General features: G+C 41.0%; 1 protein-coding gene across 1 annotated transcript; it reads right to left on the reverse strand.

Annotated features, from left to right (window-relative positions):
• Positions 1 to 639: 639 nt before the first annotated feature.
• Positions 640 to 26,556, reverse strand: SLC10A6 (solute carrier family 10 member 6). Its single transcript, NM_197965.3, has 6 exons — positions 25,911 to 26,556; positions 10,478 to 10,596; positions 8,964 to 9,052; positions 5,165 to 5,340; positions 2,592 to 2,749; positions 640 to 1,074 (listed from the first exon to the last, which is right to left on the reverse strand). Exons 1-6 carry the CDS (start codon positions 26,285 to 26,287, stop codon positions 860 to 862), a joined length of 1,134 nt encoding a protein of 377 aa, NP_932069.1. The 5' UTR covers positions 26,288 to 26,556; the 3' UTR covers positions 640 to 859.
• Positions 26,557 to 26,571: the final 15 nt, after the last annotated feature.

Consider the following 26,571-nt stretch of genomic DNA (forward strand, 5'->3'; position numbering starts at 1 on the left):
CCGTATGTGTGTTTTAAATTCTTTCCAAGCTTGTGTTACATCTATAATCAAAATGATTTTCAATTTCTTAAAAATAATAATCATTTGAGAAAACTGCCCCATTTATTATAAGAGCTATTTGTTCTCCTCTCAGTGCACCTGAGGACCTGCCCAGAGTCAAGAAGTCACATAGGTCTGCGTCACCCTGCAGTATGAGGTGACATCTCCTCTACTTAGAGTTCTAACTCTTGTTCAATTAAAATCCACAACGTGGCTGGGCGCAGTGGCTCATGCCTGTAATCCCAGCACTTTGGGAGGCTGAGGCGGGCAGATCACTTGAGACCAGGAGTTCGAAACCAGACTGGCCAACATGGTGAAACCCCATCTCTACTAAAATACAAAATATTAGCCAGGCATGGTGGCACACACCTGTGATCCCAGCTACTTGGGAGGCTGAGGCAAGGGAATCACTTGAACCCAGGAGGCGGAGGTTGTGGTGAGCCGAGATTGTGCCACTGCACTCCAGCCTGGGCAACAGAGCAAGACTCTGTCTCAAAAAAAAAAAATCCACAACATAAGGATAAGTTCCCCTAATGAAGGATTTTACCTACTGCCAGGTACTATTTGCTGCATGGGAAGACAAGAACATACAAGGCAGCTCATTGATACGTTATGTTAACCCCCAGAAGAAACTCCCTGAAATGGGAATCTCCAAAAGTGATCCCATCACAATTCACAATCCACATGAAAATATAAATATTCTAACATTGAACACTTAAATATTCACACTGGCCCTACCAACAAGATTCATGTGTCAGCTGCACACTGTCTTTACTGGCCACTGAAAAAGAAGGGGGCCAGTCCAGCCAGCTAGTCCCTGCTATTCACATGAAGTGATGTGGCCAACTGGCTCGAGAGCCCTGTGGCAATCCATTGGCCCTGGTGGCCCAGGAGTGATGGCACCTTCTTCATTCACCTCCAAGAAGGCATTGGTCTCTCTGGAAGAAGTCGATTTCCTCGTATGGCAGACTTCTGTGCAACCTGAGTTCTTTTTTCCATGTTTGTTCTTCAATCTCCTCTTGTACGTCTGATATGCTAGGTGTTAAAACATACAAGTATTAACAATCACTTTAACAAAGAGTCTAATTTGGTGACACTGTACACTTGTCAATCCTTCAGGTGTTTGTTTCAGTGGCATCATGTATGTATAAACACCCAGGGAAAAGAAGGGGGAAAGAGAGAAAGCTATAGAACAGAAGGATTCAGTGTATCAGAATGGCTCTTTTGTCTGGATGAACCATTTGTGATTGAGGCTCATTCATCAGGTTGCTGACAGCTTACACACTCATATATTCATTCATTCATTCATTCATTCATTCACTCATTCAGCTAGTCAGCTGGCAAATACTGCGAGTGCTTACTAGAAGTAGGACACTCTCCTGGGTTCTGGGCTAGAGCTGGGAATGAGCCAGAAATGATGCTTGCTTCAGTCTCTCCATGAGAAGGAAAGAAAACTTGGGTCTGAGACCAAGAGTTTGACTCTAATAGGATTTATCTTATCTGTTGGGGAAATTAAGCCCCAGGTATTCCTGATATTGTTATATTGATTGTTATATCTGTAATCAGTATATAATAATAACAATCAGCAATCAGTATATAATCAGTTCTATCAGTAATCATTGAGTCTTACTCAGACCCAATTCCCTAACAGCAGCAAAAATTTACCATGGCCCAAGATTAAAATATATATGTGTATGTGAACATATATATTTTTTTTTTTCTTTTTCGACTTTTAGATCCATGTGCATGTTTGTTTCCTGGGTATATTGTGTGATGCTGAAGTTTGGGAAACAAATGATCTTATCACGCAGGTAGTGAGCACAGTACCCAACAGTTTGTTTTTCAACCTTCGCCCCCTCCCTCCCTCTTCTAGTAGTCCCCAGTTTCTATTATTGCCATCTTTATGTCCATGAGCACCCAATGTTTAGCTCCCACTTGTAAGTGAGGTATTTGGTTTTCTGTTCTTGCATTATATATATTTTTAAATTTACCCTCTGTGAACAAACATAATAAAAGACTCCAAAGTAATGTATATTTGGCTGCAATCACATGTGCATACACATATATATTTCAATATTTGTATATGTGTAATATTTAATATTTGAAAAACATTTCACAGCCATTCAGCACAAGTCTTAGTCACAGAAACATTGAAATAACTTGGCATTTGGGAGACCTCAAGGCTTTTAATGAGACCTAACAAATCAACGCTTAAGTGCAGCAAATGTCACTTTGGAGCTCAATGATTGCTCATAGAGATCTTGTCTTAACAAGTTACGAAGTCTAAGTTCTGATAGTGGATTCACTTTTGTGAAGTATATTTGTTTATAATTATAAGCTCATTTTCAGATGGCTTTTTATATTTTTCTGTGAAACTCCCACTTGTGCGCCAAACTATCCTGTCTATGTGCCTTATCGTCCCCAGAAATGTCAGGCTTTCAAAAAGTGTATCACAGGGGCAGCACATGCAAGTTTGGATTGAAAAAAAAGTTGGTAAGTTGGGGTGAACAATTTCCCGTCAGTTATTTCCTACCCAATGGGTGTTCACCCACCTGCAACAATAAGAAATCCATCTATCAGCTGGAAGAGTCCATAGGCCAGTGGGAAACTCAACATCTGGACCAAGTGCTCAGCAGTGAAAGATAACTGGAGCATGGTGATGCACATCTGAATATTCTGAGCTCCAGTTTCTAAGGAAATTGTCCTGCACCTACCAAAAAGAAAATGTTTCAAGAGTAACGCACTAGCAATAAGAACTATTCTAATATTTTCTCATATGCATCATAACAATTAGAAGCTATGACCTCAGGCCACTGAAAATGTGTACTCATTCCATAGTTATTTGCTGAGTGCCTATTCTGCAGGTGGTCTTCTGAGAGGCACGGTGGAGTGAGGCTTTGCAAACCCTGCCCTAGGCATCTGAGTAAAAAGACAAGATAAACACACAGGAGAGGTTCAGCAACAACACAAGACAAAGTATGGCCAAAGGCCACGCAGATGTAGAAATTTAGAAAATGGCAGAAGGGGTGAGAGAAGGCTTCACAGAGGAGTGGGATTTAAGGATGGAAAAAAATAGAAGAAGCTTTTGATGAGGGGGAAATATTATAAAAATTAAAGTTCCAGGGAGAGGTGTGAGTGTGGCCTGTTCAGCAGGCATTGCATATACTGTAAGCCAATCTGCAGAGAGGAGAGGACTGGAGGAGACAAGAATGGAAAGTTGAGTTAGAGATATGATGCAGGACATGGTGGCTCATGCCTGGAATCCCAGCACTGAGAGGCAGAAGCGGGAAGATTGCTTGAGCCAGGAATTCAAGACCACCCTGGGCAACAGAGTAAGACCCTGTCTCTACAAAAAGAAAAACGTATATATATTTTTGAAAGACATATGAAACAATATAAACTAACCAACACTTAAAAACAAATAAACAAGGCCAGGCACAGTGGCTCACGCCTGTAATCTCAGCACTTTGAGAGACCAAGGTGGGTGGATCACCTGAGGTCAGGAGTTCGAGACCAGCCTGGCCAACATGGTGAAACCCTGTCCCTACCAAAAATACAAAAATTAGCCTGGCGTGGTGGCACACGCTCCTGTAATCCCAGCTACTCGGGAGGCTGAGGCACGAGAATCACTTGAATCCAGGAGGCAGAGGTTGCACTCCAGCCTGGGCAACGAGGTCTCAATAAATAAATAAATAAATAAATAAATAAATAAATAAAAACACAAAAACCCTGAATAAAGACCAAATTCCTAAAATGATTATCTTTGGTGAAAGAGTTTGGTAATAATTTTTCTTTTTGCTTTCTACTTTTCTATACTTTATTGGTTTTCTGGTTGCATAAAATGAAGTAAACCTCATTTGAAAAGACAAAGGAGGGAATAGAGGGAAGACCTGGGCAGGATGTTGAGGGCTGAGTTAAGCAGTTTCACGTCTCCAGTTTATAAAGGGAGCCTGCAGTGTTTTATATGTGGAAGTGAGGAGATAAAAGAGGTGTTTCAGAAAACAAACAAGCACCTCTGTGCAAGCTGGACTGGAATGGGGAAGTAACAAGGGTGTGTAATGAGGGGGTGAAAATGCTGTCAATGGTACAGGGCAAGCTCTGTGTTCATACGTTATTTCTACTTATTCTATTGCTTGCTACACTTGTCTCAAACCACCCTCACTTCTTTGAGACTTTTGTCAAAAACTCGATATGATTAAGCTACAAAGCTGGAACTCACACCTGCACCATTCATGAGCCAAATCTCAGTCCTGGGCTTTGTCAGGCTATCAGGTATGAAAAAGATGGGATTGTGGACTACATCTTGCCATAGGAGTACTTTCTGTCCAGAGCCAATTGCATTTCAACCACTCAACAGACTGTGTTCCTAATTGTTAAATTTGGAAACAAACCCAGGTCCAAATCCTAACTCCACAATTTTCTAGCTCTATGAACTTGGTCAAGTCACTTAATTTCTCTGAAGGGTCTGCTCATCAGTAGAATGAGGGTAGTGATAGGATCTACTTCTCAAGCTTGTAGTAAGAAGTAAATGAGATAGATGGGGTAAAGCTTTACCGGGCGCTTAGTACAACCCTAAATGTTCCCCAAGTGGATTAGAAGTAGCATAAAGCCAATTAAAAATTCCCAACTTTCACCTTTGGAATTCAACTGCATAGTTTACTCTTCTTTAGTAATTTTTTTCTGCTTTTAAAAGTAGTACATACTTATTGAAAAGCTTCAAAAATATACCAAGGAAATACTAAAGAACTAAAATTATCCTTAATTTCGCTACTCAAAATTAAACATTGTTACCATATGGTGTATTTCTTCCAGTATATTTTGATGCATAGAATTCTTTTTGCTTTCTTCTACGAAGTGGGAATCAAATCATGTCGTTTTCTATTCTTTTTTAACTTAAATTTATCTCTTCCTATCAATTTGGCCTTTGCTTTAATTTACATAAAGAATTACCACAATATTTTCCATGAATTGCCATGAATGACCCTCTTTTATGCTTAGTTATCCTGTCGATTCCACTATGTAAGTCAAAACTCTTCATGTCTCCTGACACAGGCAGCAAAGCCTACCAGTGGCAGTGTGTTAAATTTACCTTCCTCAAAAAAGTTTATGGATAGTTTAACTATACCTTTGCCAAGACTGGTGGGTAAAAAGTGCCAGCAGAAAACCCGTGACATGGCCAATCAAAGGAAAGATGAAACTGATGGTCAGAAGGGTGATGTCTGAATTCCAAGATCCTTTCGCCAGGACCACACCAGCAACTGCGACCACCAGAAGGAGGACCCCACCAACAACGGCCCCAATCTGAAGCAAACAATAAAATAAGTGAATATAAACTCAGGGTTTTTTGCTCTATGATACAAAGTCCATCAAGGTTGTAAAATGCTTGGGATCTAGAAATTTTAGAACAAAGAAGGGACTTAGAGATGACTAAATACAATTTCATTTAGTAGAGGAGAAATCTGAGTTCCAAAGTGGTCAAGTAACTTGCCTATGCTAGAAATTGGTGGAGTTTGACACAAATCTAAGTCTCGCTTTAGCATATCTACCTTTCTCTTCAAGTAGAAGATTTTGCCAAAAGGATTGGGTAGTAGAGTTCTATTGTGGGTAGAACAAAAGTGTAAAATGAATGGAATCTGACAATGAGCTTCCAACACCCCTGCACACACCTCTATGACCCTCTGCTTGTGACCTCCAGTCTGACGTCTGCCCTGCCTGACCATCTGCCTCCCCTCCCACCGCCCCTTCAACCACCAGCAGCTGCCTGCTGCTTTGATCCCTGTCCTTCTCCCCTCCAAATAAAATTTACCCATTCTTCATTGGACAATCTGAGCTAATACTCATGATCACATGAGAAATACTGATGGAGACCTCTATCCTCTCCCAAATGGATACTGTCCTTACTTTTGTTGTTTAACAAGAACAGAAACAAAAGCCAACAATAACAAAATTTTGAATAGTTTGAGATTTAGATAAAATAGGAAGAAAGCATAACCTAGGGTATTTTGGGAAAATCAGGATCTTGGCAAGCTCCTGTTCATATCATGTAGACAGTAAACTGTGTACCTAGTTACAGTGTCAACCTTGATTTGAAATGATTCAGGATGTGAAGGAGGATGGTCGTAGGAAACTAGAGAAGACAACAAACAAACAGAATGACCCAATATACCATAAATGTGTTCTGGGGGTCATTTTTACTGTTCAAATACAGAGACAGACTAGACCCCTGCCTAAGAAAAAGATGCTAAGACAAGAAAGCCTCTTGGTCAGGCATGGTGGCTCATGTCTGTAATCCCAGAACTTTGGGAGGCAGAGGTGGGCGGATCACCTGAGGTCAGGAGTTCAAGACCATCCAGCCAACATGGCAAAATCCTGTCTCTACTAAAAAATACAAAAATTAGCCAGGCGTGGTGACACATGCCTGTAATCCCAGCTACTCAAGAGGCTGAGGCAGGAGAATTACTTGAACCCAGGAGGTGGAGGTTGCAGTGAGCCAAGATTGCGCCACTGCACTCCAGCCTGGGTGACAGAGCAAGACTCCGTTTAAAAAAAAAATGAAAGAAAGAAAGCCTCTGAATGTAACATCCCCTCTTCCTCTCTCTACCAAAGATTTCAAAGTTTAATATCCACCAAGAGCAAATGGGGAACACTTAAGTTTGTTCAGAAAATGTGTCAGATCTAAAATTAAAATGGAACTAAGGCCTCTGAATGTAACATCCCCTCTTCCTCTCTCTACCAAAGATTTCAAAGTTTAATATCCACCAAGAGCAAATGGGGAACACTTAAGTTTGTTCAGAAAATGTGTCAGATCTAAAATTAAAATGGAACTAAGAACAGGGAATGAAGATATACTAAAATAATGATTACATTAGCCTAGTTTTTTTTTTTTACTAAGGTAGTCTAGAATATTTATGCATATTATTAAATGTTTTGCCATAAATCCTATGAAATACCCAAAAGAAAAGAGTTTTAAATTTGCTCGTTACAGAAAATAAAACTGACATGTAAAAAAATGTATCTGGTTTCTCCATTGACACTGATGGACTGATAGAGGAGCTGGAAAACTCCAAAAGCATTATTTTTGTTATTGTTGTTAAATGCCCTTTTAAGAAAAATAATCAAAGATAGAGTACTTGAAAAGCAAGAAGTTTCCATGATCATTTCCCTCCTCTTGTTTTGTAAACAAAATCATAACTACCACACTGGAAATTTTCTCCTACTGAAATAACAATAATAAATGTGGAAAAGGGGCCAGGCACAGTGGCTCATGCCTGTGATCCCAACACTTTGGGAGGCCAAGGCCAGAGGATCCCTTGAGGCCAGGAGTTGCAAACCAGCCTGGGTAACATAGCAAGACCCTGTCTCTAAAAAAAAAATCTTTTTATTAGCAGGGCAGGATGGTGCATGCCTGTAGTGCTAGCTACCTCAGAGCTTGAGATGGGAGCATCATTTGAGCCTAGGAGATCAAGGTTGCAGTGAGCTATGATCGTGTCATTGCACTCCAGCCTGAGTGACAGAGCGAGACCCTATCTCAAAAACTTAATTAATTTTTAAAAATAAATGTGGAAAAGATGGGACTTTATTCCATGAGTACAGCTAAAAAAGGAGAGTGAAAATCAGGTGTGCACTATTGATGTTAAAGTCATCCATATGCAATACAAATGTACTATACTAAGCCATCCTCCAGCTCTCTGTGCCCAGCTGATTTTCTGCTTGGCAAGCCCTCTCCTCTCATTCTCCATCGCACTGAAGGAATGGTGGGAATGGTTTGGCCTTGTGCATAACTGGGAAAACAGTGTCCATTAGCACAGGCATATAGAGTGGCAATGTTCTGTGAGGTAGAGCCAAACGGCAAAAGCTTAAACCAAGCCAAACCATAAACCAGAAAACAAAATTAACTGAGATTTACTACATGAAACTCTAAATAACCCCAAATGTTTACTTCTTTATAAATGTAAAATATAACTGAAACATTTTTAAAATCTTCATGAAAGCCACACATATTACAACCTTCTATCTGCTAAAGTGATACATAATCAGAAAAAAAATGGAAAGCACCCTAGGAGACTCACACCATTGTTAAGAATGCCTCCTCTTTACGTTTTGTTGTTTTGTTTCATTTTTTAGAGATGGGGTCTCACTCTGTGATCCAGGCTCCAGTGCAATGGCATGATAATGGCTCACTGTAGCCTCAACCTCCTGGCCTCAAGCAATCCTCCCACCTCAGCCTGCCAAAGTTCTGGGATTACAGATGTGAGCCACTGCACCTGGCCTCTTGAATTATTTTTAAAAGCCATTTAACAAAGACATTTGCTTGTTTCTCCAGCAGACAAAGGGCAGGACTGCAAAGACAAGAGGAGGTAGAAAGTTCTAGTCACCATCATTCCATAGCTAGACTCCTCAGTGCTTCCTGGATGATTTCATTTAAACAGTCTTATTCATGTAGTCAGCAGCCCTTGCTCATGTGTACAAACAACAGCTTTGGCCGTGACCCCAGGAATGCTTCTGCAAGACAGCCCTTCCTCCTACTCTTCCAAGAAACCAGCCATATTACTAAACACTGGGGTTCCCTTTCATGCTCACTTGAACAGCTTCTGCCTCAAGAGCACCTGTGTGAAGCCTTGTTTATGGATGGGCCTGGGCTCTTCTGTCCACACACAGGCTTTAGCTTTCCTGACACTAAATCAATAGTTGCTTATTTTCCAGGGCGTCATAAGCCTCAGGGTACAGAACTATGGGAGTGGCAAAGCAAGGCTTACAGGGTGGAGGAAATATGATCCCTGGATCCAAAACCACAGGATGTGTAAGAAGAATTTCTGGGTGTGGGGCCGTACTCAACAAGCTCACTTGTCCCAGCCACTGCTCACTTCTGTCTTTCAGGCCCCTGAGTCTGAGGACGTGCCAACAGTGGCCATGAAGTCACTCACCTTGAGAATGATTTTGGATTGTTTTGGCCATCTGTAATTCACATAGACACCAAAGGCCACAGGAATGGTCAGGCACACAAGGGTAATTCCTAAAGAGAAGAAAAATCCATGAGAGGGTTTTCCCTCTCACCCTGACTGCACAGTACTTCCCAACAACTTCTATTTCAATTAGGTAACAGCTTTAAACTGACATTTTCCCATGCCACTTCCCAAGTCTGGATAAATGCCTACAATATTGGCTCCAAAGTTATATAAGCTGCTCATAACATTTTGCGTCTTGTGAGTGCCTTTCAGAACATATTATCAAAGCAGAATATATTAAATAACTTACTGATCAGAAAAAAAGTTGCACATAAAATCATGGTTTCTAAATTAAGGTTTCCCTCAAATTTTACAGATTCAGTGGGCTCCCGCTATTGTGAGGAAGTGGGTTCATTCATGGTTTTGAACTATGGGCCATGGGTTGTAAGCCTTCAAGGTGTTTACCTGAGACACCAGATTGACACTGAGAGTCTTAAGAATCATAGTGTTGGCCAGGCACGGTGGCTTACACCTGTAATCCTAGCACTTTGGGAGGCCAAGGTGGGTGGACTGCCTGAGCTCAGGAGTTTGAGACCAGCCTGGGCAACACGGTGAAACCCTGTCTCTCCTAAAATACCAAAAAAATTAGCCGGGTGTGGTGGCCTGCACCTGTAGTACCAGCTACTCGGAAGGCTGAGGCAGGAGAAGGCAGAAGTTGCAGTGAGCCGAGATTGCACGACTGCACTCCAGCCTGAGTGACAGAGCAAAACTCTGTCTCAAAAAAAAAAAACAAAAAAACATAGTGCCTATCACTTTTTCAAAAACTGACCACACTAGAAAAGGCAGATCATTTCACCACATTTCTCTTCTAAGCTTGCTAAACCCACAGAGATCTTTAGGAAAATGGCAGACTTTCATGAGAAATAATATTCAGAAGAGGAGATAATGAAAGAGATATGGGTGAGACTGTGACATGTAGATGAGTTTTCATAATCAGTAAGAATTATTTACATTCAACCTCCAAGAAAAAGTCAAGGTTCGCAGGCAATGTGAAAGGTGAAGTCACAGGAAGGTCTAATTAGAGCCACTAGATCCAGTTAAACCTTGGAGTATAAAGAGTCCAATTGCTTTATAGTCTAATTACATAAGGGTTTGATTCCTGCTTTTTCAAAGTAAATTATCTGGCTTTCTTTTTTTTTCAAAAATGCACTCTTATAGGGATGAAAGTTTGCACTTTGTAGTCAGATTCCCGGGTTAGAACTCCAGTTCCGTACTTACCAGCTGCATAATCTTGATCAAGTTACTAAACCTCTTGAAGCCTGAAGACCTAGGAGACTGAACTGGTAACAGAATCTATACTGTAGGGTTCTTTAAGGGATTAAATTAAGTACTACCAAAAAAATCCCTGCATAAAGAGTTATATAATTAAGAACAGCTATTATTAGTATCATCACCATTACTGTTAGTCCTCCATTTCCCAGGCCCATACAGACCTATGTTCTGATAAGGAATGGTGAGATTCTGCTGAAGACTCCAGGACCAGGTGTAGAGATAAATGCAGAGTGGCATCATTCCCAGGGCGGCCACGGTGGAACAGGTTGTCATACTGATGCTGAAAGTAAAATTAATACAATGCTTAGGAGGGAGCATTGGACATGAAGAATTTAGTCTTTACCAAAAGCAACTCCTAGGACACAATTTCCTAGAGATTACATGGACTAAGCTCCTTGGAGCTCATTTCTCTCCCGTTGTTTAACAAACGATGGCTATATTTCTGGTCTACAAAGAGATTTCCAGTAGTTCTTGTCATCCATCAATTACCTCATATTTATTTTACTATCTACTTGCCTTAAAATTCTGCTAGGCACTATAGAATTATTTTCTTATCTAGTTCTTTTTTATTGAAGTATAATCCACAAGCCATAAAATTCATCATTTTAAATTATACAATTCAGCAGTTTTTAGTATAGTCACAACATTATGCAATAATAGCACCATTTCCAGGATAGTTTCATCACCCCAGAAAGAAACCCCATCCCCATTAGCAGTCACTCCCCAATCCCTCCTTCCCCTAGCCCTTAGCAAGCACAAATCTACTTTCCGTCTTTATAGGATTACCTGTTCTGGACATTTCATATCAACAGAATCATACATGCAGCCTTTTTTCTGTGTCTAGCTTCTTTCCCTTAGCATAACATTTTCGACGTTTGATAATAGTTTGGCTGTTTGTCCTCTCCAACTCTCATGTTGAAATTTGATTCCCAACGTTGGAGGCGGGGGCAAGTGGGAAATATTTCGGTCACAGGGGCAGATCCCTCATGAACAGGCTGGTGCCATTCTCGTGGGATTCACTGAGTTCTCACTCAGTTCTTATGAGCTCTAGTTGTTAAAAAGAGTCTGACACCTCCCTCCCCTCTCTTACCATGTGATGCCTGCTCCTCTTCCCCTTCCACCATGGGTGGGGTCTTCATGAGGCCCTCACCAGATGCAGATGCTGGCACTTTGCTTCTTGTGTACAGCCTGCAGACCCTCGAGCCAAATAAACCTGTTTTATTTAGAAATTACCTACCCTCAGGTATTCCTTCATGGCAACTCACATGGGCTAAGACAAGGTTTATCCATGTTTTAACATATATCACAGCTTCATTCTTTTTATGTCCTTATTCTATTAATATAGTATATCACATTGATTTTTCTGTATATTGAATCAACCTTGCATTTTGAAATAAATCATATTTGGTCATGGTGTATAATCCTTTATGTTGCTAGATTCAGTGTGATAGTATTTTTATTGAAAATTTTTGCATGTATATTCATAAGAACTATTGATCTGCAGTTTTCTTTTCTTGTGATATCTAGTTCTGGTACCAAGGGGATTGGAAGTGTATTAGGCTGTTTGCATGGCCATAAAGAAATACCTGAGGCTGGGTAATTTATAAAGGAGATTCATAGTTCTGCAGGCTGTACAAGCATGGTTCCAGCATGTGCTCCTGGTAAGGACCTCAGGAAGTTCGCAATCATGGTAGAAGGCAAAGGGGAAGGGGGAGCAGGTATCTCACATGGCCAGAGAGGGAGCAAGGGAGAGTGAGAAAGGGGAGGTCCCAGACTTTTAAACAACCAGATCTCATGTGAACTAACTAAGCAAGAACTCACTTATCACCAAGGAGATGGCATTAACCATTCATGAGAGATCCACCCCATGATCCAATAGCCTCCCACCAGGCCCCACCTCCAATACTGGAATCACATTTCAACATGAGATGTGGAGAGGACAAACACCCAAACCACATCAGCAAGTTAGAATGCCACAAAGCTGACTGAACGCCTGCCCAGTATGAAGTGTTAATAAATATCTGTCAGGAAGAAGTCACGCAAACACCACATGCCATAAGCTCCCCATTGGATAGGGCAGTGACCCCCACAGTCGCTGACCTGCAGACAGAGCAAGTTGGTTAGGGCAAGGGAAGGTACAGAACCACAGAGAAAGGGAACTGATGTGAGATGCTAGACTGAATTAAGAATTCTGTTCCAATCCTGATATCGTGTGATCCTATGATTAGAAACTGTGATTGGGCCAAGCATGGTGGCTCATGCCTGTAATCCCAGCACTTTGGGAGGCCAAGGCGGGCAGATGACCTGAGGTCAGAAGTTCGAGACCAGCCTGGCCAACATGGTGAAACCCTGTCTCTACTAACAATACAAAAATTAGCTGGGTGTGGTGGCAGGTGCCTGTAATCCCAGCTACTTGGTAGGCTAAGGCAGGAGAATCACTTGGACCCAGGAGGCGGAGGTTGCAGTGAGCCACGATCATGCCACTGCACTCCAGCCTGGGCAACAAAGTGAAACTCCATCTCAAAAAAAAAGAAAGACAGAAAGACGAAAAGACACAAGAAAAGAAGAAAAGAAAGAAAAGGAGAAGAAAGAAAGAAAGAAAGAGAGAGAGAGAGAGAAAGAAAAGAAAAGAAAAGGAAGGGACTGAGATTTGAGATTGAAGTAGAGTGATGAGTTAGAGTACAAAGTAAGATTTCTAGGCTTCAAAATGATGGTGTGATATACAAAAAAGCTGAGTCACTTAGCATCAGTTAGAGGGGTTGTGTTAAGTAAGGTGATAGTGGGACATCCAGTCTTTGGTGAACAAACCTGGAAAGATTTCTAAAGACAATCAGTCTGTTTATCTGTGTCATTACTGGGGTTGTCTCTGGCCACCTTGGAAAGTGAAATGTGGGTTTGTGAGCCGGACGAACCAAACCAAAACCAACAGCCATGCTACATAGCTTTACCAGGAAAACAACTGAGACCATCAGAAGGAAGTTGTGGTCTTTGTTCAACAAATCCAGAATGATTTCTACTGGAAAACTGGTTTGTTTATCTCTGTTATTATTGAGGTTAATTGTTTCTAAGTCAAAAGGCTAACACATTTTAAGCGCAATGGTTCTTAAGAACTTTTAAGTACATAATGTCTGTGACAGAGGGGGAAGAGTACTTGGTTTGAAGTCCTCAAAAACTGTGTATCGTGATTACTGCTATGGTCTGAATGTGTCCTCCAAAATTCATAGGTTGGAAATCAAATCCCTAAGACAACAGTATTGAGAGGTGGAGCTTTCTGGGAGGTGTTTAGGTCACAATGAATCCACCTTCATGAATGAATTAATGCTATTTTAAGAGGACTCCACCAAGGAAGTTTGTTCCTTTTTGCCCTTCTCTCTTCCACCACGTGAGGAGCAAGAAGGACCTCACCAGACAATAGATGCCAGCACCTTCATCTTAGACTTCCCAGCCTCCAGAATGTAAGGGAATAATTTCTCTTCTCTATACATTAACCAGTCTCAGGTATCCTGTACAGCAGCACAAAATGGACTAAGACAATTACTATATTGTTATTACATTATATGAACTAAGTTACTGCTTCACACATTTGTAATTTGTTGCAGATTTTTTGGGGTTTTGTTTTGTTTTGTTTTTTGAAATGGAGTCCCACTCTGTCGCCCAGGCTGGAGTGCAGTGGCGCAATCTCGGCTCACTGCAACCTCCACCTCCTGGGTTCAAGTGATTCTCCTGCCTCAGCCTCCTGAGTAGCTGGGATTACAGATGCCCACCACCACACCCAGGTAATTTTTGTATTTTTAGTAGAGATGGGATTTCACCATGTTGGCCAGGCTGTCTCGAACTCCTAACCTCAGGTGATCCACCCGCCTCGGCCTCCTAAAGTGCATGAGCCACCACGCCCGGCCATAATATACTGTGTTTTTGTATTTTCCATATATATTTTTGGTCTAAATTTATTTAGGGAAAAGCACTTAGTTACATTAACTGATAGTTAATATTTTATATATTGTAAAGCCTCCTTTGCTCTAAACCAGGGAGAGGAAGAAGAGCCCATGGTGCATGTAGAGAGAGAGAGAGAGAGAGAGAGAGAAAGAAAGAAAGAAAGAAAGAAAGAAAGAAAGAAAGAAAGAAAGAAAGAAAGAAAGAAAAAGAAAGGAAGGAAGGAAGGAAGGAAGGAAGGAAGGAAGGAAGGAAGGAAGGAAGGAAGGCAGGCAGGCAGGCTGGGATTTGAGAAGCAAGTAAGCAAAACATCATGTTGTACACCATAAATATACATAATTTAACTTGTCAATTAAAAATAAAATTTAAAAAAGAAGTCAGTGGAGAGCTGGGAGGTTATATTTCATGAAAGCTAAGAAAAGAAAGCTCCCAAATGAAGGCTAAAAGCCAATAAAAATCAGGGAGGATGAGAACTGAAGAAATATTCAACCTTACCCCACTTTTTGGTGCCTTCCATCCCAAATCTATTCTTTCCATCTCAGTCTCACTCCCAAATCGCAAGTTAAGGCTGTATTTTGTACCTACCTGAGTGATAGAACCAGTGAAAGAATGCATTAGTAAAATTAGGGGAAAGAAAATAAATGGAAAGAAGATACCCATCAGACCAGTCAAATATTTTATCTTTCAATTTGCTGGAAAAAATTACACAATCTGTTTAAGCATGTACAAACTGTTTATAGACACTGTGCTCATTCTGTGCTCAAGGCACAAATGACTGACAGACTGAGAAGCAGACTGCCCTCCTGCTCTACAAAGGAGAGGGAGGAGGCCCTTCATACGTCAAGGTCTTCTGCATAGACAGAAGGTCCTTCAGCACTTTATTGGGTCTACAAGTCATCTGTCACTCTTCCTCCTAATATATATCACCATTGCTTCCATCCAATTACCCTGTCTATAAAATAATACGTCTATGACTACTTTAACATTTTCTGCCAGAAGAATGTTTATACTCTTGACAAAGCAGCATCTGTTTTACTTCAATGATACTAAAAAGATTCCCTCTGTGCTCTCACTCATTGCTGGTAAAAATGGTACACCACAGAGGGTGTCTGGCAATATCTAGGAAAATTAGCGATCCTGCTTCTAGGATTCTGAATCCATGGCCCTCTGGACATGGTTTTATTGACATTGGCTCATGAATTATACACATGCTGTACCCTACACAAGTACTTATGTACCTGTCCATCTGTGCCAGAGTGAGTGGCATGACAGCCAGGTCCTATTTTCCTCTCCATCTCTAGGAGACCTGGCATAGTCTCACGCTGCAGCATATTGGAAGAGCTCGTTAAATACTTACTGAATAAATGTATGAATCAAAGAATGAACCAATGTCAACACACTGGTGCTATGGAAATATTCTCTCTGTCTCCGTCATATGTCACGTATCTCCAGGTGAACATTGGTAAAAATCTTACTGAAATGACCCCTTTATACTTAGTTCAAATGGTAAACAGCCCCATAGCAATCCAGAAAAAGAGACTTTCTATAAAATTATGCTCTCCCAGCAGGGCATGGTGGCTCATGCCTGTAATCCCAGCACTTTGGGAGGCCAAGGCGTGCAGATTACCTGAGGTCAGGAGTTCGAGACCAGCTTGGCCAACATGGTGAAACCCCATCTCTAAAAAAAATACAAAAATTAGCCGGGCATGGTGGCACACGCCTGTAATCCCAGCTACTCGGGAGGCTGAGGCAGGAGAATTGCTTGAGCCTGGGAGATGGAGGTTGCAGTGAGCCGAGATCATGCCATTGCACTCCAGCCTGGGTGACAGTGTCTCAAAAAAAAAAAAAAAAAAAAAAAATTATGCTCTTCCCAGACAAAAGCAAGTAAAATTTTAAGAAGCAAATATTTAGCTGATTGGTGCTCCTTTCAGAAATCCAAACTTAGATAACTTGCAAGTATTTGTGTACATCCTTCTACTCTTTTATTTTTCTTTTAAGCAGTCCATTTATTTCATGATTGTTTGTTAAATCAATAGGATTTTTTTCTTTCATTATTTTTTCTTTTTAAAGGAATCAGACCAGGTGCAGTGCCTCATGCCTGTAATTCCAGCAATTTGGGAGGCTGAATTGGGAGGATTGCTTAAGACCAGGAGTTTAACAACAGCCTGAGCAACATAGAGAGACCCTGGTCTCTACAAAAAAAAAAAAAAAAAAAGTACAAAAATTAGCTGAATGTGGTGGTACACACCTGTAGTCCCAGCTACTCGGGAGGCTGAGGCAGGAGGATGGCTTGAGCTCAGGAGTTTGAGGCTGCAGTGAGCTATGCTCACACCACAACACTCCAGCTTTGGGGACAGAAGGAGGCCCTGTCTCTAAAAATAAAAAAAGGAACCTTATAATATACCTTACTCTGCAACTTGTTTGCTTTTTTTCCCACTTCATCTATCACAGACATCCTCTCAGACCAATACATTTAAACTTATTCTTTTAAAGAACTGCGAAATATGCCATAATCTAAATATGCCATAATTTCTTCAATCACTTCATTAACCATAGGTCAGTTGCTTTTAGTTTTTTGCCATTATAAATAATGTTATAATAAACACTCTCATACATACTTCACTTGAAATGATTCTTTTCTTTCTGTGAATTCCCAAGGTGGAATTGCTATGTAAAAGTCTGTGTTTTTTGTTTTAATATATACTTTCAGACTACTTTCCAAAAAGATTGCTACATTTCACAATCTTGCCTACTCCGGATGTGATCAGTCCCTTCTAATTGTCATGCCAGCATTGAAAAATTGATCTCACTCTTGTTACACTCTTATTTTTTTTTTTTATTTTTTTTTTTTAGCTGGAGCTCACTCTGTCACCCAGTCTGGAGTGCAGTGGCCTGATCTTGACTCACTGCAAGCTCCGCCTCCCAGGTTCAAGCAATTCTCTCTGCCCCAGCCTCTGGAATAGGTGGGATTACAGGTACCCGCCACCACACCAGGCTAATTTTTTTTTTTTTTTTAATTTTTAGTAGAGATGGGTTTTACCATGTTGGCCAAGCTGGTCTCGAACTCCGGACCTCAGGTGATCCACCCACCTTGGCCTCCCAAAGTGTTGGGATTACAGGCGTGAGCCACTGCACCCAGCCGACACTCTGGATTCTATCAGGTTGTGCTTTCTTTCATGTCAAGTGGCTTCTTCTGTGTCCTCCTCTCTAAACAATCTTGCTTGTCAGACTTCTTCTCAACTTGTAGGAGTTCTTTTAAAATTAGGGCTCATATTACCATGAATAATACAAGTATTTTTTCCAAGCATGGTGTATATCTTTGACTTTGCTTATGACTTGCCATAATTAACATTTATATAGTCAGAGCTGTTTTTTTAATGGCTTCTGAGTTTCTTATCTTAAAGACCTACCCTGATCCGAGGGCATTCAAATATTGTCTTCTACTTTTTACTTTTATGCTTATATTTTCAACTGACTTAAAATTTATATTTTGCATGGTAACAGGTATGAGACTAATCCATTTTTTCTATTAATATATTGAGATGCAAGTGTGTCAATATAATCTACTAAAATAAACCATTTTCCACTATACTGAAGTGTCACCTTTATCATTTATTAAATGCCCAAGTGTACACAAAATATTTTCTGGAAATTCTCTTCTAGCTCATTGATAAATAACTTTCTTTTTTCCTGAACAAATACTAGACTAATTACAGTGTTCTCATATATGGTAGGGCAAATACCTCCACATAAATTTCCCTTTTCAAACTTGTCTTAGCAGTTCTTGCTTATATTTTATTCCATATGAAACCCAAAATTATTTTATCCTATTAAGAATGCTTACTTTAAGCAAAGATTTCTTCCTGACTAGTAGGCAATTTAAAAGAAAAAAAGCAGTTTGCCACAGCTCTCAAACCTCTGTATCCACAAAGAGGCTGTTTAGAAAGTTTTTTCCAAATTCTTAGTCTATGATAGTGCTACATTCCTTGACTCTCCATATTACTAAGTCCTGAATGGAATTCCATATTATATCACTTTACTCTTGAACTTCTGGAGAACCAGCACAACATTTCTCTACTGAATGGCTTTGGCTCAAACAGCAGAAAGGTAAGACTCATGATTATGGGAAGCAAAGTGAGATTTATATCCGACTGATTCTATATCCTTGATTACCTATGTGATTGCTTCCATGTTTATACAATTTTCAAGCCCATGGTGATCATGATATTGGTCAAGGATGGCAAGAGGTTATCCTGGTGCTCTGCCAACTGTTACAAATACCAGCAAAGGTGGAAAAGCACACAGTGAATGCCTGTGAGTACAGTGGAAAGTCACGCCTTGTATTTTTAGCCATGAAATTCCAATGTAGCATAAACAGAGGATGTGGCTAAGTAAGTCTCTTGACTTTTCATGTATAGGAAAATTTTTGGCAAAATCTAACTTCAGTATAACAAGATTCCACTTGCATTGAGAAGAATAGCATCATCATCTCCAAACTATTACAGAAAATAATGAGACATATTCAGCAAGTCTAGACAAACAGGTCAGTCTTGAACCCTCCCTTAAAGCAGGGAAATTACATATATACACATTACATTAAAATGCAGTGTCAATAACATTTTGCAATTGGAGATTAAGTTATTATAAATTGTTTTAATTTCAAAAATCCCATAAAATCAGGAACTCTGACCCTCAAAACTATGAAAGTATACACTTGCTTTCCGACTGAAAGAAATAAAAAATTATCCAGCTAACCAGATGGACACGGAGTGAGCTATAAGATCATACCAACAGATTTGACCCTAGAATAGAGCGTAAGGCCCGATTTTCCATCCCTCAATATAAATGTTACCCTTGTCTGCTGCCTTCCAATAATAATGAGTATTTATTGAGCACTATGTGCTAGGTGTTATGTCTCATGCTTTTATATACATTTTCTCTTTTCATCTACATAATAACTCTATGTGTGAGTATTATTTTCATTGTATAGATAAGGAAATTAAAGTACATAGAGACATGGAAGCTTGCATGAAGTCTCATGAATTCAGTCTCCGTTCTGTCTCCAAAGCCTTAAATGCAAAGGACCTTCAGTTTTCCACCAAGACATGTCAGATAGACCTGAACAATTTGAAGTTCTATTTCCAGGTTCTCTACTGAAGGACTAAGAACTTCTTTAAAGTTCAAAGGTCAAAGTTGGCCACTGAGCTCCACAGGCTCCAACACCACCAGTGGTCAGAATCCTTTGTCTGCAGCTGAGGACATAAATACATCCTTACGGAAGAATGGACCTCTTGTATATATCAAAAGTTCTCAAACAAAGATAGTGGGAGGCCAGGCGTAAGTGGCCCACACCTGTAATCCCAGCACTTTGGAAACCCTAGGTGGGAGGATTGCTTGAGCCCAGGAGTTCAAGACCAGCCTGGGCAACATAGTGAGACCTCATCTCTGTAATAAAAAATAAAAAATTAGCTGGGTATGATGGCGCATGCCTATAGTCCCAGCTGCGCTGCTCAGAAGGCTGAGGTGAGAGGATCACTTGACCCCAGAAGGCCAAGACTTCAGTGAGCCATGATTGTACCACTGCACTCCAGTCTGATGACAGAGTCTAAGACCCTGTCTCAAAAAAAAAAAAAAGAAAAGAAAAGAAAAGAAAAGAAAAGACAAGACAGTGGGAGCTGTCCTGAGTTGCATCAATAAATGGACACCTCTTTTCTTTCTTTCTTTCTTTCTTTCTTTCTTTCTTTCTTTCTTTCTTTCTTTCTTTCTTTCTTTCTTTCTTTCTTTCTTTCTTTCTTTCTTTTTTTTTTTGAGATGGAGTCTCGCTCTGTCACTTGCCCAGGCTGGAGTGCAGTGGTGTGATCTCGGCTCACAGCAACCTCTGCCTCCTGGGTCCAAGCATTTCTCCTGCCTCAGTCTCCTGAGTAGCTGGCATTACAGGCATGCATCACCACACCTGGCTAATTTTGTATTTTTAGTAGAGATGGGGTTTTGCCATGTTGGCCAGGCTGGTCTCGAACTCCTGACCTCAAGTGATCTGCCCATCTCAGCCTCCCAAAGTGCTGGGATTACAGGTGTGAGCCACCACGCCTGGCCTGGACCTCTTTTGAGGGTTGTTTTTGTAATACACACAGGCAATCGGAAACTGTCATTCACTCATTCACTCATGTTTACCGAGTGCCTACCACTACCTGGCTGGTACTGTGCAAGCAAAGATGAGCAAGCCTTCCAGGAGCTTACAGATATAGTAGGTGAGGCAGACAAGTAGCCCAGCTATTGCAATGCTTTCCAACAGATGATAAGGAAGAGTTACATAATTCGGATTATGGGGACAGACAAGAGAAACATTTCTGGGCAGTAGTTTCAGGAGAAACTACGGTAGAGGAAGGGGGACATTTGGACTTCATATTTTGCTTTGCTTTTCCTATAGTCACAAAATACTTAATATTTAACCTCAGATCCACTCCTAAGCATACACTCAAGGGAAATGAAAGCTGAGACTCAACAGTATTATTCACAATTGCCAAAAAGTGGAAATAATTCAATTGTCCGTTGATGGATGAATAGATAAAACATGACACATATATATTATGATATATCATTATATACAGGGTTAGGGTTAGGCATGCAGCTCCTTGAGCAGGGACTAAAACACAGACCCAGGACACGATGTTCTTTTGCCTGCCTTATATAATAATAATAATAGTTCATATCACATTTTATGCCAAGTGAGATTCTAAGCACTTTAGAAATATTAACTCATTCAATCCTCTCAACAGCTCACGATGTAGGAATGCTTCTCATTTTAGAAGTGAGGAAACTGGCCGGGCTCGGTGGCTCACACCGGTAATCCCAGCACTTTGGGAGGCTGAGGTGGGCGGATCATGAGGTCAGGAGATCAAGACCATCCTGGCTAACATGGCGAAACCCCATCTCTACTAAAAATACAAAAAATCAGCCAGGTGTGGTGGCAGGCGCCTGTAGTCCCAGCTACTCGGGAGGCTGAGGCAGGAGAATGGTGTGAACCTGGGAGGCAGAGCTTGCAGTGAGCCGAGATCACGCCACTGCACTCCAGCCTGGGTGACAGAGCGAGACTCCGTCTCAAAAAAAATCAAAATAAAAATTAAAAAATAGAAGTAAGGAAACTGAAGCATAGAAAATGTGCATAATCTGCCGAGATGATCCAGTCAGTAAGTGATGGGTCTGCTTGCTGTTTCCAGAGCCCTTAACTACTACACCGTACTGCCAGATCTTAATTTTCATGTTCTACCCTCAAAGGTAGGAATTCTGTCCATCTCTAGTAGGATATATTGGGGAAAAAAATGCCCCCTATTCTTCACCCCTCCCTTATCCATGTCCGCTGTAATGTGACTTGGAAGTTCAGCCCATCAAGAGGCAAAATCGACTTTCCTAATCCATGAAGCTGGACTGGCCTTGCAGTCTGCATTGGCCAATGGAATGTGGTGGAAGGAAGAGGATCTGGTTTAAAGCCAACACTTCAAAAGACCTTTTCTGCTTTGCCTTTCTGAGAACCCTGCTGCTGCCATGTAATCAGGTCTAGGCTAGTCTACTAGAAAATGAGAGATCATGTAGTAAGAGAGCCCAGTTGTCCAGGTTGAAGCCACCTGCATTAGTCCATTTTCACACTGCTGTAAAGAAATACCCAAGCCTGCGTAATTTATAAAGGAAAGGGATTTGATTGACTCACAGTTCCACATGGTTGGGGAGGTCTCAGGAAACTTACAAACATGGCAGAAGGTGAAGGGGAAGCAAGGACCTTCTTCACAAGGCAGCAAGAGAGAGAAGAAGAACAAAGGAGGAACTTCCAAACACTTATAAAACCATCACTCACTATCATTAGAACAGCATGGGGGAAATCAACCCCATGACCTGATCACTTCCCTCCCTTGACACTTGGGGATTCCAGGCCCCTCCCTAGACACACGGGAATTACAATTCGAGATGAGAATTGGGTGGGGACACAGAGCCAAACCATATCACCACCCAAGACCAGTCTACATTTAACCAACCCCAAAATATGTAAAAGAACCCAGCCATGATCAGCCAAACTCGGCCCAGAGGCAGGATAATTTTTAAGGCTCTTCATACATATCAGCCAACTGCTTTCTAGGATGGTTATAAGGAAGAACAACATCATGACTGGAGGAGACAAAATAAGGTCAGTTGGCACTGCAGACTGTGGGAACAACATGGGCAAAAGAAAGCTGGAAGAGTGTGAGATATGCTCAGAGAACTATGAGCAGCCCATTTTGACTAAAAACCATTGTTCTTAAGGGGACTAGTGGAATAAAAGAACCTGGAGAAGTAAAGTAGACTGGCTTAGTCGTTTCTACCAATTTAGTAGGTGTTGAGAAGCCTTTGTATGTATAACATGTTCGTTTTCTCCTAACAGTACCATGCGGGTAATGTTATGATTTCCAGTTACAGAGAAGAGGCCCAAGGTCAGGATTTGAATATAGGCAATCTGGTATCAGAGCCTGCCTTATCCACTTACTGCAAAGCCGTAATGGAGAGACTAAAGGTGCAGAGAACAGCACTTTCATTGTTGTGAAAATACAATTAGCCAAGAAAGAAATTGTGAGGGCCTGACCTGAGGAAGTGTTAGTGGAGACCAACAGGAAGCAAGAACTGTGAGCAACACAGCAAGAGGAAGGGCTACAGGGCTTGGCAGTGGATTGAGTGGCCATGGCGAGAATGAGGGTAGTCACAGGGCAAGGCTAAGATGACAAGCCCAGGCAACTGCAAGAGGATGGGTGTCATCAGTCATCTCATTTGCAGAACGCACAAACCGGTTCCAACCAATGGATTCTGAAATGCCTGTGTGGGGTGAACACATGGAGAACTGCAAGTGCACTGCATGAAGCAGGAGTGAAGGCATGAGAAACGTGCTCAAGGTCATCTGCAGGGAGCTAAATCTCCACTTCCTCGTGTGTCAAATGAAGATGTTGTGCTAACCGCTCTTGGATTTTATCCAGCATTAACAGCAGATAAAACTCCTATCAATGACGATCCACTGAGTTTTGCTTAAAACTGATTTTTTGTTGGTATTCAATTATGAAGAAATGTAATTACTTAGATATTGTTTCACACCGTACTTGATTTTCACCTATTTGAGTTTCTACTGAAAATTGATTTTATTACTTTTGTACCTATAAGCTTCTAAAAATCTAATATTTAGTTTTTGCTTGTTTTTTTAGTTTTGTTGGTAAGACTCAAAATCAAAATTTAGAAAGAAAAGAGGAAAAGTAGCTAATATTTATTGCACAACTACTATGTACCTGGCACTCTGAATACACACACACACACAAATATATATTTCCTCCATAAATATAGTCTTGTGTCAGCCAGGCGCCGTGGCTCACGCCTGTAATCCCAGCACTTTGGGAGGCCGAGACAAGAGGATCACCTGACGGCAGGAGTTTGAGAACAGCCTGGCCAACATGGCGAAACCCCATCTCTACTAAAAATACAAAAATTAGCCAGGCACGGTGGTGGGTACGGGTACCTGTATTCCCAGCTACTCAGGAGGCTGAGGCAGGAGAATCACTTGAACCCAGGAGGTGGAGGTTGCAGCGAGCCGAGATCGCACCATTGCACTCCAGCCTGGGCGACAAGAGTGAAACTCCACCCCAAACTATTATCTATATATGTGTGTGTGTGTTTGAGTGTGTGTACATATATATACATATATATACAGTCTTGTGAGAAATAGGTAAATTTAACCCCATTTTGCCAATGATGAGATAAGGCTTAGATAGGTTAAATAATTTGAACAAAGTTAAAGGTGAATTAAAGATAAGAGTTGGCAAAAGAAAGTAAAAGTAGCTTTATCTTTCATAGGTTTCCTGTTCATTGGTGTTTTTATGACAACATTGACTAATAAGAGATTAAGGTAATAAATGTTCTCTTTCCCAGAACACAAGTGTTTGAGAACACTGAAGATTTATGCTGCTATTCAAAACAGAAGATCTAGTTGTGTTGCTAAATGCCATGGGGGAAATGTGCCTAAACTGCAGACTGATGTAAAACAGATGAGAATTCAAATCTGAGTTCTGCCATACTGGTTTGTAGCATTTGGCAAGCTACTTAACCAATCTGAATCACAATTTTCTCAGCTGTAAAATTCAGAACAATAAAAGGCCATTTACAAGGTTATTATGAGCCCCAAGAAGAAAATAAGCATGAAAGCATCTATCCCATGCCTATGGGGCACTTAATAAATATTAGTTTCCTTTTTCTTTCCAAAAACTTTTAGGTCCTGGAATTTATCTCTGATTTATGAACTTCATGCAAAGAATATCTATCATTTCCCAGTTAAATAATCAACTTTACTGAATTTGAATTAGCAATGTATATTAATGGCTTTTACCATTAAGGTAAAACACAAAAGCAGTGTATATTAGTGGCTTTGTATATGAGTGGCTTTTACCATTAAGGTAAAACACAAAATTCATCAAGTTATTTTTTTTTCAAATCTCTCATAAGTGGGTAAACAAAAACACTGCCTTGGGAAAGTTAGTTCCTATTCTGCATGGTATGAGCCCATTAAAATTTATAGGTGAAATATGTTCCATACGCTAAACATTCAGCACAAGCGGAAAACTGGAAACACATACCTGCAGCTGACTCTCACTGATGTCAACTCCCAGCTCAGTCATTACCTCTGATTCATTCATTCATGGTAAAGTGAATCTCAACTAAATGACATACACATGAAACAAATACTTAAATTTATAAGCAGTTCTTCCCCAGGGCAGGAAGTGAAACGGCATGTTCACAAGTAAGCAAAGAGTCTCGAGAGACCATTGTTTTTAGCTCTTTTTCCAGTGCTATCCCTCTACTCTTTCCTCAAATGCTCTTTTTTTCCCCCATCAAAACATGTAATCCAGAAAAGCATGTGACTAATTCATCCTCATTAAAGTGTAAATAAGGGACAAGGCTTAATGTCTCCCAGAGGTATTTATCTACACCATAATTGGGAATAAGGTCACTGGCTTAAAGGGAAGGAATGCGAATCTAGTGATGATGTTAACGATCTGCAAAGCAACAAGAAAGAACAATTTTAGTCCTGAGAGCCTTCGCATTGCTCCTGAAGTCAAATCGACAAGCCATCTCAGCACTTAAAGCTGGATATGGCCACCAGACACCCCTAAAGCTCCTTTATCCAGTCCTCTAAAGTGCTTCTTTCCTAAAGTAGGTGCTCAGGCATCACTGACTGGAGCTACGGGAGTCTCATTCTGACTATGCCACTGACACAACCACGACGGCTGCTACCAAACCACAATCGTTAGCTTCTTGGGATTCTTGGTTTAAGTCCTAGGAGTTGCTAAAGAGGCCAGTGTAGGTAAGAATGAGCTCAAGCTTAGGAAGGGCCACTGGGTGAGGTGCAGACCTGCCTCCACTGCTCAGAACGCATCCCACTGCTCAGAACAGTAGCCAATAAAGAAAATGATCATCAGCAAAGTAACTTTTGAGCACTGAAAGGAAAGCCCACCCATGGCTGAACAAGTCTCTGTGATATTTGTAACATTTCCCACTAGAATCTCTACCAAAAGATTAGAAGAGTGTTTAACACAAGAGTTTCAGTTATTCCCCCTAGGCAGGATAAGAGACAGACTGCTGAGCTTCCCTGGGGTTACTTACCTGAGATCCATATCTCCATCAACCCAGAAGGTGAAAATGTTAGAGATGGTGCCCCCCGGGCAGCAGCCCATGATGAGAACAGCAATAGCTTGGACTGGCTTCAGAGAAAAGCTAATGGCCAGGAGATAAGCTGTAAAAGGCATGAGCCCAAACTGGCAGAGCAGTCCCACAGCAATGCCCCAGGGTCTCCTGATGTGCGACCACAGCTTCCGGATCTCCACGGAACATCCCAAAGAGAACATGAGCAGCCCCATCATCACAGTGGACACCACTGTGAAAACGAGCTCCAGGTTTCCATGCACCTCCAGTCCCACTGGCAGCTCCTCCTCTGAACTGTTGGCAGGGCAGGCTGAGCTGCTGGAACAATTGGCTCTCATCTCCTCATCTCCTTAAGGCAGCATTACAAATGAACATCGGCAACAATGGCTGGGCAGGTCTATCCTGCCACATTTTGTAATAGTGCAACGAAGTCACACATGGAGAATCATTCCAATAACTGTTGGCCAGCAAGGTGATTCATCCTAATCTGATCAATTTTTTCACAAGTGGCATTATAAAAGTAATTATCACAGGCATGAAACATATAATAAACTGTGGTAAGTAAGGCTTTCCACTTCTGTTCTTACTCACCACTGAATATGTATGTGAGATGAGACAAACA

This window comes from Homo sapiens, chromosome 4 (assembly GCF_000001405.40).
Source record: "Homo sapiens chromosome 4, GRCh38.p14 Primary Assembly".
NCBI classification, from domain to species: domain Eukaryota; kingdom Metazoa; phylum Chordata; class Mammalia; order Primates; family Hominidae; genus Homo; species Homo sapiens.